This window comes from Homo sapiens, chromosome 22 (assembly GCF_000001405.40).
Source record: "Homo sapiens chromosome 22, GRCh38.p14 Primary Assembly".
In the NCBI taxonomy this organism is placed as follows: Eukaryota; Metazoa; Chordata; class Mammalia; order Primates; family Hominidae; genus Homo; species Homo sapiens.
Genome location: NC_000022.11, coordinates 46,472,330 through 46,489,716, shown reverse-complemented (window position 1 = coordinate 46,489,716; position 17,387 = coordinate 46,472,330). Strand labels below are relative to the sequence as shown.

Genomic DNA, 17,387 nt, shown 5'->3' with positions numbered 1-17,387 from the left:
GGTCTCAAACTCCTGACCTCAGGTGATCCACCTGTCTCGGCCTCCCAAAGTGCTGGGATTACAGGTATGAGCCACCGTGCACGGCCAAAGATGGGCGTTTTCCTGGCAGAGTCTGAGCTGCCCCCAGGAGCTGGTATGAGAGAAACCCAGCTCTGTCCAAGTGTGGGCCATGTCTCTCCTCTTAGTTAGGGGCAGTCTGGGGCCACCAGGGGCCCTCAGAATCCAAGCAGTGGATGTCCCGTAGTTAGGAGGGGCGCCAGGAGAGGTTTGGGGCCCCCAAGCTTGGGGCCTTCTTCTCCCCAGCTTCAGCAAGTGCTTCACGGTGGTGACGGATTGCAATTTCTTCTCAAGCCAGGACAGGAGGGTGGGAAGGCCGGGTGGGTTAATAGTCAAAAGTGCCCTCGTCAGAGAGCATGGCATCTCCCTGCCCCACTGAGCCAGGGGGAAGGTGCCCCAGGACAATGACCAGCTGGTAGTTTTGATTGTGATGACGAGGAATTGGGGACAAGAACAGTTTGTTGGCTTATCATTACAAGCAGAGGAAGGGCACTTCGCCATCCCCAAGCCGGGTTCCAAACGGGAAATAATCGTGCATTTGGAAGAGCTGAATTGCAGTTATTCTTTGGGTTAGTCTGGGTGACCAGCAGGAAGGTGGCCCTGCCCTGCCATGGGGTGTGGGTGTGTCTGGGGGTCTGAGCTGACATGTCCCTTACTGCCACGGTGACCCCAACTGCTGCATGCTCAAAAGGGCAGGGCTGGGCTGGGCGTGGTGGCTTCCGCCTGTAATCCCAACACTTTGGGAAGCCGAGGCAGGCGGATCATGAGGTCAGGAGATCGAGACCATCCTGGCTAACACGGTGAAACCCCGTCTCTACTAAAAATACAAAAAATTAGCTGGGCCTGGTGGCGGGCGCCTGTAGTCCCAGCTACTCGGGAGGCTGAGGCAGGAGAATGGCATGAACCTGGGAGGTGGAGCTTGCAGTGAGCCGAGATCACGCCACTGAACTCCAGCCTGGGTGACAGAGCAAGACTCCGTCTCAAAAAAAAAAAAGGGCAGGGCTGTGGCACGGGAGTGGTCACTGCTGTGCCGTAGAAACTGCTGCTTCTGGGGACTTTCCACTGTGGCGCGGGGGGTGCGTTTGTTCTTTTTGTGTCCCTCAGCTAGGCCTGTGGGGCTTCCCTCTGGCCTGTGCCGAGTCCAGCCTTGGTGTGGGTTCAAGCCGTGTTCCTGCCGAACCGTCCCACTGAGCTCACTGGCACGCACGCCTAGGTGCACGCTCTATGGCACTACGGTGGCCTCCTGTGCTGCACTCGCCGGCTGTAGGCGAGCAGGGAAGCTGCGGGCTTAGGAGCAGGAAGGGCTCAGCTCCTTAGTGGGACTCTCATCCCCCAAGACCATCCCCCTGTCCCCAGGAGGGCAGGGCTTCCCATGTAGCACTGGCTCTGGGGACTATCTGGGGGTCACCTTCACCTCCCACTGTCATGAGTTTCAGTGAGACAATAGGATGGATGCCAGCCCTGAGTGGCTGCTGACCACAGCTGCTTCCTGCTGTCACCCAGCTGCTGTCAGCCTGCAGAGCCCTCCCCTGAAACTGAGGTGCAGGGCAGGACCCCTCCCCGTGCCTCCACTGGTACTTGACACCCCTCCCTCACGCCCCTGTCAGCTGATCCTGTCAGCACCCTGGACATCCCTCCCCACACCCCCATTAGCTGGACACCCCTCCCCTACACCCTCATCAGCTGGACACCCCTCCCATATACCCCCATTAGCTGAACACCCCTCCCCCACACCCTCATCAGCTGGACAGCCCTCCCATATACCCCCATCAGCTGGACACCCCTCCCCCGCAACCCCCAGTAGCACCCTGGACTCCCTTCTTCCCAACCCCTTCAGCACTTTGGATACCCTTCCCTCTACTTCCGTCAGTATCCTGGACTCCCCTCCCCAATACCTCCCACCTGCACCCTGGACTCCCCTCCCCCTCACCCCCCACCTGCACCCTGGACTCCCCTCCCCCATACCTCCAATCTGTACCCTGGACTCCCCTCCCCCGCACCCTGGACTCCCCTCCCCCGCACCCCCCACCTGCACCCTGGACTCCCCTCCCCCGCACCCCCCACCTGCACCCTGGACTCCCCTCCCCCTCACCCCCCACCTGCACTGCACCGTGGACTCCCCTCCCCCGTGGGGCTCACCATGCTAATTGGCCCCATTTGTCTTTTCCACCAGGCCAAGGACACCTTGAGGGCAGGACTGTGGTTTTCCCTCTTGGCATCCCTAGATCTCAGCCTCGTACACACAGGGCCCGCAAATGTTTGTTGAATTAATGAGTGACAGCAATTTTAATTAGAGTTTCTTTGCGTTTAGGTTGCAGATTAGAATCTTTAAAAAGATATTATACCAAATAGTTTTTAATTATGAATGAATTGCAGACATCGTCTGCAATTAGCTCGAGAACTGAAATCCTCTTTCAGGACCCTTGGGGTACTCTAAGAGGGAAATCCAATTTGTTACTTGTAAGTCATCTCTTAATCATGCAATAGCAGGATATGTGATATTAGCGTCAGCTCTTCCATCTCTCCAGATCTGAGCCAAAGGTGCCATGGGAAGAATTTGGAGCTGCTGTTCTTGAGACCTTGGGTGTGTGGAAGTGGGAGTGGGAGTGGGAGTGGGAGTGAGGGCAGGAAGTGGAGGGGGCAGGGGGCGGGAGCAGACACACAGTAGGTGCTCAGTAAACGTGTGATGAGTGGGGAGCAGGGGCCAGAACAGAAACTGTTGGAGAGAGGTGGGGGAATATGGGCCTGGAGGCATTTCAGAAGACATCCTGTGTGGACGTGTCCTGATGCATGACTTTATTTTAATTTTTTTGTTCTGAGACAGAGTCTTGCTCTGTCGCCCAGGCTGGAGTGCAGTGGCACGATCTCCGCTCACTGCAACCTCCACCTCCCGGGTTCAAGCGATTATCCTGCTGCAGCCTCCCGAGTAGCTGGAATTGCAGGTGTGCGCCACTACGCCCGGCTAATTTTTGTATTTTTAGTAGAGAGGGGGTTTCACTATGTTGGCCAAGCTGGTCTCAAACTCCTGACCTCAGGTGATCCTCCTGCCTTGGCCTCCCAAAGTGCTGGGATTACAGGCGTGAGCCCCTGCGTCCAGCCTTTATTTTTTTTTGAGACAGAGTCTCAGTCTGTCGCCCAGGCTGGAGTACAGGGGCATGATCTTGGCTCACTGCAACCTCTGCCTCCCAGGCTCAAACAATTCTCATGCCTCAGTCTCCTGAGTAGCTGGGATTACAGGCGCCCACCACCACGCCCAGCTAATTTTTGTATTTTTAGTAGAGATGGGGTTTCACCATGTTGGCCAGTCTGGTCTCAAATTCCTGGCCTCAAGTGATCCACTCTCCTTGCCTCCCAAAGTGCTGGGATTACAGGCGTGAGCCAGCGTGCCCGGCCTTGATGCATGACTTTAAAAAGTACCTGAGGCCGGGCGCGGTGGCTCACTCCTGTAATCCTAGCACTTTGGGAGGCCGAGGCTGGCGGATCACGAGGTCAGGAGATCGAGACCATCCTGGCTAACACGGTGAAACCCCGTCTCTACTATAAAAACACAAAAAATTAGCTGGGCAAGGTGGCGGGCTCCTGTAGTCCCAGCTACTTGGGAGGCTGAGGCAGGAGAATGGCGTGAACCTGGGAGGTGGAGCTTGCAGTGAGCCGAGGTCACGCCACTGCACTCCGGCCTGGGCGACAAAGCGAGACTCAGTCTCAAAAAAAAAAAAAAAAAAAAAAAAAAGTACCTGAAAGGTTAGAGCATATTAAGAGCAGATTAGTTTGGGCCACGACACATATCACTGTCATAGACAAACGACACAAGCAGGACATGCTGAACAAAACGGGTTCACGTTTGCAGAACAGGGTTCTGTTTCTCCCTCTGCGGGGTCTGATGGCTCCAGTGCGCCCATTTCCCCAGACTGTGGGAGGCACTGTGCAGAACCTGAGCGTCAACGGTCCCCGCCACACAAACCCCATGGGCGCAGACAGCACAGGTGTGGATGGAGAGGTGCATGGAGCCTGCTGGCCGCCTGTCTTGGAGATGAGCTTTTGCTCCTCGGCAATTTGGAGATGCTCAGCCAGCCAGATTTTATTTTCAGCTTTACTTGTGACGTTCACTTCTCTCCCGGATCCTCCATAATGAGCCAGACAGAAGCTGCCTGGCGGCCCCGCATGCAGCCTCCCAGGCACATGGGCCTCCTCCCGTCCAAACGGAGCTTTGAGTCTTTGCTTGAATCTTCTTACTCACTGGTTTCAAAATAGGCATCCAGCTCATTAGCCTCAGGGAGAGGGAGTTGGGGGCGCCACTCACAAAGGCCTGGGAAGAGGAACCCGAGCCAAGGTCAGGATGGAGGGCTTGTCTTCCAGCAGAACCCAATGTGAGGTGAGAGTTTTTGTTCTAGTCTTTGAATACTGGAAACGAATCTCACCATCTGGAGGTGGCAGGGGAGAGAGGCCTGAAAGAAATAAATTAAAATACTCAACTACAGAAAAACCTCGAAGCTGCAATCAAGACAAAAGCAAGGATGCTAACACACACACTTTCTCTGTTGGCTAAAACTGAGTGTTTTCACGGGGAGGCCTGCGTCATCTTTCTCTCAGGTTTCTTCCACGAGAGCCTCTAGTTAATCATCTCAAATGACCCTTCTAATGTCATGCTGAATCAGTCTCTTGAAATTTAGGACTGGAATTTTCTCAGCAAATATTTAACTAGAAAAACGAAATCTCAGCTTTTCTGTTCTCAGCAGTTTCAATGCAAGTTGCAAATTAATAGACGTCTGGGCCAATATTTGATCTTTTCCCCCAAAGAAAATGATTTGCTCGCCATTCACTAAATTGGAGGGAGGCGTCCCTGGAAGTAACAAGGATGATATCCTTGTTCCTGGAGGTGGGCTTCGGTAGTGTTTGGAGACCTCAGGCAGCAGCCGGACCTCCCCAGCACCTGGGCGGGGTCCCTGTGAGCGCTCACTCCAGCATCTCTGATGGCCACAGGGTCTCTGGGGCAGAACCCCCATGCCCAGCCAAAACAGGTGCTGCAGTGAGTGGGCCAGGTAGCTCTCGTGGTATGTGAGCGCAGCTGCCCCTTGCCAGGCTGTCCCGGGCTGCCCCCAGCTCTAACTTGAGGCACTAACCCTATCAGGGGTCAGTGGCTTAATATAGCCTCTCCCTGGTATTTGCATTTCAAAAGAGGTCTCTGTGAAATTATTCTGGAAGGGATTTCAGGGCCCCTGAGTGGGGACACATTTCAGGCCTAGGAGGGGTGGCTCCTCCAAGTTCCTGGCAGATGCTGCAGCCTGCATTTCTGAGGAGGGCTGGGCCCGAGGCAGCTGCCACCATGGGCTGGGCTGGGCTGGTGGAAGGAGGGACTCTGTCCCCTGCAGGACCCTCCCAGCGGTCTTGCTTGGGACTGAGCAGCTGGGGCTGGTGGGCCCTGTGGATGCCAGGTTTACTGGTGCCCAGTTCAGACCTCGGACCCGTCCCCACCGTCGTAACGGCTCTCCCCAGCAGCTCCCCTTCTCTTGCCCTGTACCCTTGGATTTCTGGGCGGAAGGCCTGGGGCGCTCCTCCCTACAGGTGAGTCTGAGAGCCAGGGCAGAGCGTGGGAGCCCGTGGGAGCCTGGGAATGTTCTGTGCTCCGTGAAATTGACAGTTGTGCTCCTTTACCTGGAGGCAAGGGATGTGGCTTCTGAGCCTGTTGGTGCCAGTGCCTTTGTTGTTACACCTTTGCTCTTAAATAGGTACAAATTATTGGTATTAGAAAGCCTTGCAGCTCCATATCCTCATTAAGCCTCTGCAGTTAATAATTATTTTTCTCTCCTGAAAGTGTTGGTGTGAAAGAGCTGAGTAGACACGTGGAGACTGCAGGCCTCACTCTACCTTGGCAGGAAGATGGCGACCTGCATCCCCAACAGACAGCTGTGTGTCCTGGGCACAGTTCCTGAGCCTTTCTGGGCCCCACATCCCTTGTCACTGGGGTAGCAGAATCTGCTCTGCCTCCCTGGGTGGTTGGAGAGGCAATAGCAGATAATGGGAGCAAAGACTTACGTAGCTCTTGCAATCCTCAGGGGACTCCAGGAGGCAGGAAATCCAATCACCCGGTTTTACTGATGAGGAAACCAAAGCACATAGAGGTTAAGTGACTTGCCCAAGTTCACAGAGGAAGTGGGTGGCAGAGTGGGATTGTCAGGGAAAGCACCTTGAATGGAAAACCTGTGGGCTGCCACTGCACTCCAGCCTGGGTGACAGAGCGAGACGCTGTCTCAAAAAAAAAAAAAAAAAAAAAAAAGTCAGGAATAGCATGTTTCCATAAAGAGGGTGTGCTCAACTGTGAGGACTGCGCCCTAGACACCCAGTGAGGCGGGTCTCACAGTTTGTGGCTTATGTTAATTAATGTCTCATCATTAATTTATTAATAAGGTTCTTTCTAAAGTCCTTGTTTTTAATGTAATCAAAATCATACTTTTTCCCCTTTACGATAGTGTGTTGTGTGTCATGTTTAAGAATTGCTTACCTATCTCAAGATCATAAACATGATTTTGAATGATCCTTGCTAAAATAGGCTTTGTCTTTCCTGCTTAAGTCCTTAGTTCACCTGGAATTGATGTTTGTGCTTGGTGTGAGGTAGGGATCCAGTTTCACTTTGTCCGTTATGTAGACAGCTGAGTGGCTTGGGACCATGTGTGGGAATGCTCCTCTTTCCCATTTGCCAGCTCTGTTGTGTGTGCGTGTGGACCTGTTTCTGGGCTCCATCTTCTGTCCATCAGTCTGTTGGTCTGCTCCATGCCAGCACTCCCTTGTCTACAGGCTATAAATCTTGACATCAGATAGAGCTTGTTCCCCTCCCCTGTTCTCCAGGGATGCCTTGGCTATTCTTGACCTATTGGTCTTCTGTGGAGATTAGAGAATCATCTTGTGAGTTCCCTATGAAGGACCCTGTAGATAATTTTCTTTTTTTTTTGAGGCGGGATTTTGTTCTTTCACCCAGGCTGGAGTACAGTGCACAAGCTCAGCTCACTGCAACCTTTGCCTCCTGGGTTCAAGTGAGTCTCGTGCCTCAGCCTTTCGAGTAGCTGAGTTTACAGGCATATGCAATCCCACTCTGCCACCCACTTCCTCTGTGACCTTGGGCAAGTCACTTAACCTCTATGTGCTTTGGTTTCCTCATCAGTAAAACTGGGTGATTGGATTTTCTGCCTCCTAGAGTCCCCTGAGGATTGCAAGAGCTACACAGGTCTTTGCTCTCATTATCTGGTATTGCCTCTCCAGCTACCCAGGGAGGCAGAACAGATTCTGCTCTGGCTGATGGCCCTTCCTCTGTCTTCAGGGCCAGCAGCATAGAATCCCCTGACTTCCTCTGTCCCCATAAGCTCTTTCTCCCACTCTTCCTCCCTCCTCTGCTTTTAAGGATCCTGTGGCCACCCAGATCCTCCAGGATACTCTCGTGGGTTAAGGTTGCTGGTGAGCGGCCGTGCCCCTGTGCCATGTGGCATAACGCAGTCACAGCTTCTGGGGATTGAGACATGCAGCTCTTCTTGGGAAGTGAGGGTGAGACATTATTTTGTCTACCACACATGGCCATGGCCAAGATTTATAAAAGTCAGCCGGGTGCAGTAGCTCATGTCTGTGATCCCAGCACTTTGGGAGGCTGAGGCTGGTGGATCACCTGAGCTCAGGAGTTCGAGACCAGCCTGTCCAACATGGCGAAACCCCATCTCTACTAAAAATACAAAAATTAGCCAGGCTTGGTGGCACATGCCTGTAATCCCAGCTACTCGGGAGGCTGAGGCAGGAGAATCTCTTGAACCCGGGAGGCAGAGGTTGCAGTGAGCTGAGATCACGCCACTGCATGGGCAACAGAGTGAGACTCTGTTTCAAAAAAAAAAAAAAGATTTAGAAAAGTTCAAATAACTGGGGCAGCACAGGGTTGCCACTGGGGAGCTGCAGCAGCTGCGGGTGCAGGAGGTGGTGGACTCCATGGTGAAGAGTCTGGAGAGAGAGAACATCTGGAAGATGCATTGTCTCATGTTCTGGTGCAGCACCAGCTGTTGTGAGGACAGTCAGGCCTCCACGGAGCAGGTGCACCAGTGCATCGAGTGCCACCATGTGCCTCTGGCTTAAGCCCAGGCTTTGATCACCAGTGAGCTGGAGAAGTTCCAGGACCACCTGGTCCGGTGCACCACGCATTGCAACGACAAAGCCAAAGATTCAATAGATGCTGGGAGTAAGGAGCTTCAGTTGAAGCAGAAGCTGGAAGGTGGTGTGACCAAGTGTGTGGATGACCACATGCACCTGCTCCCAACTATGACCGAGAAGGTGAAGGAGGCTCTCTCATCCATTGGGAAATAAAAGTCTTTGCCAGTGGCCATCGGGGCTGAGGGCAATAATGTATTTTTTATAAGGAATTGGGAATTTTAGTCTTTTTTTTTTTTGAGACATGGTCTTGTTCTTTCGCGCAGGCTGGAAGGCTGGAGTGCAGTGGCACGATCTCAGCTCACTGCAACCTCCACCTCCCAGGTTCAAGCCATTTTTCTGCCTCAGCCTCCTGAGTAGCTGGGACTACAGGCATGCACCACCATGCCCAAGTAATTTTTGTATTTTTAGTAGAGACAGGGTTTCACCATGTTGGTCAGACTGGTCTCAAACTCCTGACCTTGTGATCCACCCGCCTCAGCCTCCCAAAGTGCTGGGATTACAGGCGTGAGCCACCGGACCCGGCCGGAATTTTAGTCTTTTAAGCAAAGTTTATGAATGAAGAAATGAAGGATGGTCGTAAGTGTAAAGCATATGTCACTTGCCTCTGGACACTGGTTCTTTTATGTTTTAGTCCTAAAAAATGAAACGGAAAAAAGTGGTGCTAAATTGGGTCAGAGATATTACAGGAGAGTTTTAGAGCTTATATTTCCTGTGGCCAGTGCTTGTCCTGGCAGTAAGGATCTCCCCTGTAACAAGCCAGAGCCCCCAAGGCACCAGACTCTTCTTACTACACAGGTACCAACAGGCTGGCAGGTTAGAGTTGGTGGAGTTTGCAGAGAGATATTTCCTCTTCGTTGCCAACATCCTGTTTACCAGAAGTGTTTCTGCATCACTTTCCATAAGCTGTGAAACAAAATCCATGAGGTCACTCACTTAGAAGGGAAAAAATGTTTTCTGTGTCTTTGTTTTCCTGGTTTTGTGTAATTTATACAAGGGCATACAAGTTGATTTTAAGATGTGGAATTGGGAGGGAAACTCATTTGGATAAGAACTTTGAAAGGTTCCTTATCATTTGGATAAGAACTTTGAAAGGATCCCCATTTCTGGTCATCAGGATGTGGATGTACTTTTCTTAAAATTTTGACATGCTGCATCTTGAGACATGGACCTCTTCTTGGGAGGTGAGGGGGAGACATTATTTCGTCTACCACAGCTTGGAGACCATGCAAAAACATGACAGGCGACGACACACTAATTGTGGGAAGCAGAATTACTGGCTGATGGGCCTTGAGGCTGTGTGTAGCAAAACGACAGGACAATCTTGCAGTAACACTTTGCCCGTGAAGAGAAGGGGATTTTGATTGTGATACATACTAGTATATAGGAGTGAACAGTAGAAGAGGAGCATTTGGCTACTTGATTATAACAGAGTTATGAAGTACTGGATTTGGAAAAACCTGGTTTTTGTAGAACAGATGGAATGAAGACCTAAACCGAGCATTGCCTACTTAGCCCCTGAATTAACAGAGTCCAGTCGAGACAAACCCCTGGCAACAGGAAATTCAAGGGAGGAAAAGGAAGCAACTTGGGCTAGGATGAGCTGACTCCCTGAGAGTGAAGGAGAGGCAGCCCCCGTTACCAAATACCATTTCTGCCTGGGGCTTTCGCAGCTTGCAGTGTTCCTGCTCCGGCATGGCACCTTATTGTTTTGATAGCAACCTCATTGTATTCTCACCAGCTTATTACTTGAAATGATAAGACAGCCTGTCCATTTGCTGCTTCCCGGCTGTGATATATTTTCCTAGTGGTTTGGTTTTAAAAATAAATAAGGTTTAATTTTCTACCCACCCCCGGCCCCCCCCCAAAAAGTCCAAATAACCACAAAAAGTCTCAGCTCACTATCCCTGGCCCCTGGAACCCAGCATCTCCTGCCCAGAGGCAGCTGTGGTCTCTGGCTCCGTGATGAGCTTGTGGGGGACATGGCTGCAGTGCCGGTTCAGCCACCGTGGGTAGCTTTTTCCCAAAGACGAGGCATCTGCTTGAGGCTCACCTGGAGTGGTAGGGGCTTCCAGGGCAGGGCCCAGACAGTTTTCCCCTGGCAGCTGCCGCAGCCTTTCTGCACAGGAGGGCCTTCGGGCTCGGGGGTAGGAGCGGCTTGACGCAGGTTGGTCCCTGGAGATGAGTCAGCATTTCAGAGGCACTGCTGACAAGCATGGGGGTCGGGACAGACCTGAGTCCAGCAGGTCATTTTGGAGGGAGAGAAGCTCCCAGGATTCAGCAAAACCCCGGGAGCGTCCGTCGGCGGATGCTGCACCAGCCGCAGGTGTGAGCATGCGAGACTCCGGGCAAGGAGAAGAGGAAGATGGAGATAGTGGCACAGGGGCACGCAGAGGGAGGCCGAGGGTCACCTGCTGCTCTGGCCATTGAGGTGGCTGGATGAGGAGCCTGGCTGGGTGCTGGATAGCACTTTTAGACCTGGAGCCTGGAATGTTCCAGACTGGCCCTGGTCGTTCCTGACTCCCTGGGCCTGCGGTGAGCAGTGGCTGAAGAGCCTGAGAGCTCTGAGCAGGACCTGCTGCAGGGCTGGGTTGGGCTCGTTGCTGTGTTTACTAAGACGTCTCATCTTCGGCTGGGCACGGTGGCTCACACCTGTAATCCCAGCGCTTTGGGAGGCCGAGGCGGACAGATCACAAGGTCAGGAGTTCGAGACCAGCCTGGCTAACATGGTGAAACCCCGTCTCTACTAAAAATACCAAAAAAAAAAAAATTTTAGCTGGGCATGGTGGCACGCACCTGTAATCCCAGCTACTTGGGAGGCTGAGGCAGGAGAATCGCTTGAACCCGGGAGGCAGAGGTTGCAGTGAGCCGAGATCGCACCACTGCACTTTAGACTGGGCGACAGTGTGAGACTCCATCTCAAAAAAAAAAAAAAATTCTCATCTTTATTGTCCACAGCTCTCTTGGGCTGGCAGTGGCTCGTGGACACGTCGGGCCAGGGAACATATGGTTGTCCCTTGGCAGGTGCTCAGGGCCGCATTGTCATGCTGGAAGGCATCATTTGGCTCAGAACCAGGTGCCCACTTGTTCTTTGAAATTTGTTTTGTCGTTTAATCTTTGCCTTGGGGAATTTGGCCCATTTTTCCAGGACGAGGGCAGAGAGGTGGCTTTCTGGTTCTGGCAGGGAAGAGCGAGGCTGGAATGGCTCCCCTTTGGCCCAGCCCGTGTCAATCTCTGGGCTCAGCTGGCAGGGGAATGCCCCAGACGGCGCTGTCGGGAGGCGCAGAGGCCCGAGTGGTCTGGCAAAGCCGGGTGCTGAGCCAAGGAGCCCTGAGCTCGGTGCTTCCCGGGCTCCTGGTACCTGCTGAGAGTCTCAGGCCGGAAGGGGTCCAGAGGTTTGGGTGATCATTTCCGAGGGCTGGGTTTTCAGCTGGTGTGCTGCTGCCCTGGCAGGTGTTGTCTGGAGACATGTGTGGTCATCATAGCCTGGGGTGGGGGTGCTGCTGACATCCAGTGGGTGGAGGCCAGGGGTGCTGCCCAGCATCCTCCCGGGGGCTGGCACCCCACAGAGAGTTACCCAGCCCCCACGAGAGTCCACAGTGCTGCCATGGGGTACCTGTCCTGGAAGCTGAAGCCCGGGGGTTCCTCCTTTTTCTTCTTATCTTAAAACAGCATTGGCCAGGTGCCGTGGCTCAAGGCTGTAATCCCAGCACTTTGGGAGGCTGAGGCGGGTGGATCATGAGGTCAGGAGATCGAGACCATCCTGGCCAACATGGTGAAACCCTGTCTCTACTAAAATACAAAAAATTAGCCTGGCGTGGTGGCCCACGTCTGTAGCCCCAGCTACTTGGGAGGCTGAGGCAGGGAAATCGCTTGAACTCGGGAGGTGGAGGTTGCAGTGAGCCGATTGTGCCACTGCACTCCAGCCTGGTGACAGAGCAAGACTCCGTCTCAAAAAAAAAAAAAAGCCAATAAAACAAAACAAAACAAAAAAACAGGCTCGTTGGCCACTCAGCGTCTCCCCACAGGAGTTCCCGGCACTCCCCAACAAGGGGTTTCTTGTGGTCAGACGTTTGGATTCCTGTTCAGGAAACGAATGCCTTCAGATTGTTCTGTGAGGACTTGAAGCAAAGCAGAGACAACAGAAGGTTCCTGATAAACTCCAGGTGTTTGATCCCTGTCGAAGTCCCGGCTGGTGCCTTCACTGTGGCGGGTGGGCCTGTGTGGGCTTCTCCCATGATATTTAGCTCATGGTATAAACAGATGGCGACTTTGGCTCTACCCAAGCCATACTCAGCATCTTTAAGGTGGGGGAGTTTGGTGTCTCCAGGGTCGGAAGGTGGCTTCCTGCTCTTGGAAGGAGAAGTAGTTCCACGTCTTAGAAACCTGTTCATTTCTGACTTCATTCGACAGCTTGGTTTGAAGGAAATGGTTCTTGAAATGCCCTTTAGAATCGCTTTCTCCTTTTGTACAATGTCACGCCAAAATAAGACAAATTTTTACTAAGAATCAATTCTTAACTCTTTTTGCCTTTTAAAAAAATTGAGGTGAAACTCACATACGATAAAATTACCACTTTAAAATGAACACTTCAGTGGCATTTGTTACATTCACGATGTGCAACCTCTCCTTCTGTGCAGTTCTAGAACATTCTCATCACCTGAGAAAGCCCCATACCCAGTAAGCTTAATCACTTCTGGTCCCTCTTGCCCCTTGCGCTTGGCAACCAGCATGGCTTCTGTCTCTGTGGATTCTGGGTGTTTCATATCAATGAAATCATGATTATGTGGCCTTTCGTGTCTGGCTTCTTTCACTTGGCGGAAAGTTTGTGAGTTTCATGCACGTTGTAGCCTGGTCAGTACTTCCTCTTTTTTTTTTTTTTTTTTGAGACGGAGTCTTACTCTGTTGCCCACGCTGGAGTGAAGTGGCACCATCTCAGTTTACTGCAACCTCTGCCTCCCAGGTTCAAGCGATTCTCCCACCTCAGCCTCCTGAGTAGCTGGGACCACAGGTGTGCACCACCACGCCTGGCTAATTTTTTATATTTTGGTAGAGATGGGGTTTCACCATGTTGCCCAGGCTGGTCTCGAACTCCTGAGCTCAGGCAATCCACCCACCTTGGTCTCTCAAAATGCTGGGATTACAGGCATGAGCCACCGCGCCCAGCCTACTTCCTCTTTATGGCTGAATAATATTCCATTGTATGAATGGAACATACTGGGTTTGTCCATTCATACATTGGTGGACGTTTGGGTTTCCACTTTGGGTTATTGTGAATAATGCTGTGGTGAGCATTTGTGGACAAGTTGTGTGGATGTATGTTTTCAATTTTTTTGCATTGCACCTAGGGATAGAATTCTGGGTCATGTGTTAATTCTATGTTGAGCTTTGTGAGGAAGCAATCCTTAACTCTTAAATGAAAGTTCTGCCTCCTGACAAGAATGCACTTGCTCAACGTCTCAGCCCACAACTTCTTTAGGCTGGCGTTGGGCTGGCTATGTTGATGTGTGAACACACCTTCCTGGGGCACAGTGGGGCCTGTTATTATTTCAGGCTTCCAGAAGGTTCCATCAAGCAGAGACATGATGAGCTGTGTTGGAATAACATGGAACAACTTAATAGTATTAAATCCTGAATTAGATTCTAACTTCTGCCTTAGGATATGAGCTTTATTTTGTACATGAAATCAGGAGAGAACATTTCTTAATAAGTGTTATCGAAGATTATGTGATTTTACCATAAATAATAAATGTGGGAGTGACATTGAGAAGGAGGTTTTAGATATCTTCGTAGCTTCATTTCTCCTTGTTTCTTCCCCCCCCATTCGTTTCTTTATTTTTAATTGCAATAAACTTTATAAAACGAACCATCTTGGCCATTTTTAAGTGTGCAGTTCAGTGGCATTAAATGCATTCACATTGTTTCATGGGCGTCACCACCATCCACCTCCAGAACTTCCTCATCTTCCCAAACTAGACTCTGTGCCAATTCAATGCCACCTCCCCACAGCCCTCCCCTAGTCCCTGGCACTCACCATCCTACTTTCTGTCTCTGTGGATTTGACTGTTCTCGGGACCTCTCGTAAGCAGAAGCAGACAGTATTTGTCCTTTTGTGACCGGCCTCTTTCACTCAGTGTGATGTCTTCAAGGCTCATCTGTGTTGTAGCGTGTGTCAGGGTGTCTGTCGTTTTTAAGGCCTCCTTATTTCTTGTGCTACCTGAAGTTGGGTTTTTTTCAGTAATAATAATGTGTAATGTTTATCCTGACTCATCTAATGCTGAGGGCCTGGGGATGTGGTTCTTTCGTGCTCTCCTCCATATCTTGTGACAGAATAATTCTTGTCATTTCTAGGATTTTATAATTTAGGAGACGAGGAAGGATGTTAAGTGAATAAGTGTGCCTTTGAAACAGAATAATGCGGCAAGATAAAATGGCATTTGTGTTTGAATGATTTGAAGCTCTAGAAGCTTTTCAGAGCTTTTAACACGCTCCTCATTTGCCTGTTGATGGGCTTCCCAGGGCCTGCCTGTGCGTTTCCATTTGATTTGTGCTTGGCCATGGGAGAAGCGGCTTGCTGTTCTTAGCAGATCCCGGCAGCCTCTCCAACAAGTTAAGTGACCTGCCTGGGACCTGCAGCTTGAGTTCAGGGTGGATGACAGAGTGAGACTCCGTCTCAAAAAAAAAAAAAAAAAAGAAGTAGAGAGTAGAATAATGGTCACCAGAATCTGGGGAGGTGAGGAAGGAGGAAGAGGGGGTTGGGGAGAGATTGGTCAAAGAGTACAAAGTTACAGTAGGATGGCAGGAATAAGTTCTGTTGCTCTATTGTACAATAGGATGACTATGGTTAATAATATTGTATTGTATATTTCAAAATAGCTAGAGGAAAGGATTTTGAACATTCTTACCACAAATAAATGATAAATTTACAAGTAATGGATATATTAAATACACTTATTTGAGTTTTACACAATGTCTAGGGGTCAGGACCAGGCATCGGGACCAGACACTGGGGCAGGGTTGGGGTGGGTGCTGGCCGCCGGGGGTGCTTGTCTGAGGCTAAGACTAGGTGGGACCAACGGGAGGATGTGTGAGGACCCACCTGCAGCAGCCCGAGGGGATGGCAGTGGTGGGGTTACAGAGTGTGGACTTGGATTCCAAAGAGGAGAAACCAGGGAAACCAAGATGTGGGCTTCCTGGGGGTGTCAGGAGGGCTCCTCCTTCTCCATTGTCCAGCCAGTGGCACAGATGGGGACAAGGAGGACTAGGAGGCTGGCTCTGCTCTCCCCAGCCCTGCCCCCGGGCAGAGCTGCGCCCTTTACCTTGACTGCAAGGTTAACACAGGACTTTGTTCCCGAGGCATCGTGAGCAGCACGTGGGCCTTTCTACAGTCCGGCTTGCTGGAGACGCTCGTGCTGGGATGAGACTCTGCTCTCCTGGGTCCGAGGCTCACTCTTCCTCTCGTGGCTTGACATCCTGACATGCGCCGCACACCCAACCCTGAAAGTGCTTGTCCCCTTGTTCCTGTGACGTGAACCTGCATTCGTGAGACGCAGGTCCTAGATTGTTGCCCAGAAAGGAGAAAAGCCACACGCCCTCAGGTAGCAGGATCAACACATCGCACCTGTTGTCTGGCCCCAATCTGGCCTCTAAAACAAAACAAAACAAACCCAGAAGAGAGAGAGACGCACACAGCCACTTCAAAGTTCCCTGGCTTTGAATGGGAGCCACCAGGAGCCACCAAGCAGGGCCCTCCCTGCCTGCTGTGAAGGCCTCGGGAAGGACAGGCACGCACCCTGTGTCTCTTACCAGCTGGACAGCAAGCAACGCTCTGTGGATGTGATCACAGCCGGCCACGGGGAATGACTCTGGACCCCGAGGGCATCATGGGCTGCCCTAACCAGGCCTCGAGGGGCGTTGGTGACGGGAGAGTGGAGGAGCCCCCCAGGCTTTGGTGCATGGGGTGGTGACGGAGACTCACAGTGAATAAGTGGCCCCTGGTTCCTGCCCGGCACTGGCTGCGTCTCCAGCTGCCTGTGGCTCCATCTCACTGGGTCATCTCCAAGGCCCCAGGTGGGTCACAAACTGGCCTTTCCTCCTCCATGTCCTCAGCAGACCCTCCCATGCCAGGACTAGGGTCCTCTTGGACCATCTCCTCTGTCCCTCCCATCCACCATCACTGGGGACTTGGCCTCAGGTTAATCTGGGCCCCGCCACTCAGCCCGAGTCACCTTACCAGGCACATTCAGCTTCTTTGTGCCTTGGTGTCCTCACCTGTCAAGGGCCAGCGATGGTTCCTCGTGGTGCGTGGGTCCTGTCCACCCCTCTGCGGACATTTCTCCTTCAGCCACCCCCGCCGTCCTGCACCGAGAGCCCACGAGGCCGGCAGCAGTCGGAGGTTCACCCACCCCCTGCCTCCGTGCCCGTGTCTCTCCGCTACTCTGCATTCCCGGGGTTGACTAACGTCCCCCCAAAATTCACATCCACCTGGAACCTCAGAGTGGGATGTTATTTGGAAATAGGCTCTTTGCAGCTGTAATTGAGGTGTTGACATGAGGCTGTACTGGCTTCCGGTGCGGTGAACAGAAGACAGAGCCGTGACGACACAGGGAGAGCCATAGCCACTTGGCGCAGAGGCAGAGGCCAGAGGGGTGCACCTAGGAGCCAAGCAACGCCAAGGACTGCTGGACCCCCAGCCCCCAGGGAAAGGGGCCCGGAACAGACCCTCCCCTGAGCCTCCAGGAGGAACAAACCCCGCCAACACCTGAATTTCAGATCCCTGGCCTCCAAAACGGAGAGAGTGAATGTCCTGTATTGGTGATGCAGCGGCGGCCCTTTGCTCCGACGGCCCCGGGAGCTGATGCCACCCGTCCCCATGCCTTGCTGGTTTTGCTGCTTTTCATGCGTTGTGCTCTCAGGAGGCCTGTCCCCTTCACTTTGTGTGGCAAACTCCATTCTTCCCAGGAAACCTACTCCCCTGTCTCCCGGGGCCGTCCAGCATCAGCTGCGCTGCTCTTCACCCACAGCCGCCAATCACCTGCCACCGAGTCTCGGAACTGCGGCACTGTCCCCTGTCCCCTGAGGGCTGCCTGCTCCTTGAGGGCCATGATGTGACCTCTGCCCCCACTGCCCCACAGCATGAGCCCACCATGGGG

At 52.4% G+C, this 17,387-nt stretch overlaps 1 protein-coding gene and 1 pseudogene across 5 annotated transcripts in view, besides 3 other annotated features; both read left to right on the top strand.

Moving 5' to 3' along the window:
• CELSR1 (cadherin EGF LAG seven-pass G-type receptor 1) overlaps positions 1 to 17,387 on the top strand; it is a 176,447-nt gene that overhangs the window by 47,904 nt on the left and 111,156 nt on the right. The window contains exon 1 of one of the 5 annotated variants that reach the window (XM_011530555.3): positions 5,442 to 5,619. The exons of the other annotated variants lie outside the window; for them this stretch is intronic. The gene's annotated coding sequence lies outside the window, so the exon portion shown is untranslated. Of the gene's footprint in view, positions 1 to 5,441; positions 5,620 to 17,387 lie in introns of those variants that run through there. 5 annotated transcript variants of the gene reach the window in all.
• Positions 1,441 to 1,550: an enhancer, noted in NCBI's record as "active region_19239". NCBI's record gives its function as "activates an Ori minimal core promoter by ATAC-STARR-seq in GM12878 lymphoblastoid cells {active_cell/tissue: GM12878}" and the evidence as "EXISTENCE:reporter gene assay evidence [ECO:0000049][PMID:35858748]".
• On the top strand, positions 7,956 to 10,085 carry FAM136EP (family with sequence similarity 136 member E, pseudogene; annotated as a pseudogene).
• Positions 10,004 to 10,533: an enhancer, noted in NCBI's record as "H3K4me1 hESC enhancer chr22:46875081-46875610 (GRCh37/hg19 assembly coordinates)". NCBI's record gives its function as "activates a minimal SCP1, AML or CMV promoter by ChIP-STARR-seq in primed H9 embryonic stem cells {active_cell/tissue: H9 hESC(primed)}" and the evidence as "EXISTENCE:reporter gene assay evidence [ECO:0000049][PMID:30033119]".
• Positions 17,182 to 17,351: a silencer, noted in NCBI's record as "fragment chr22:46868263-46868432 (GRCh37/hg19 assembly coordinates)". NCBI's record gives its function as "represses an EF-1alpha promoter that drives an FKBP-Casp9 reporter gene in an ReSE screen in HepG2 liver carcinoma cells {active_cell/tissue: HepG2}" and the evidence as "EXISTENCE:reporter gene assay evidence [ECO:0000049][PMID:32094911]".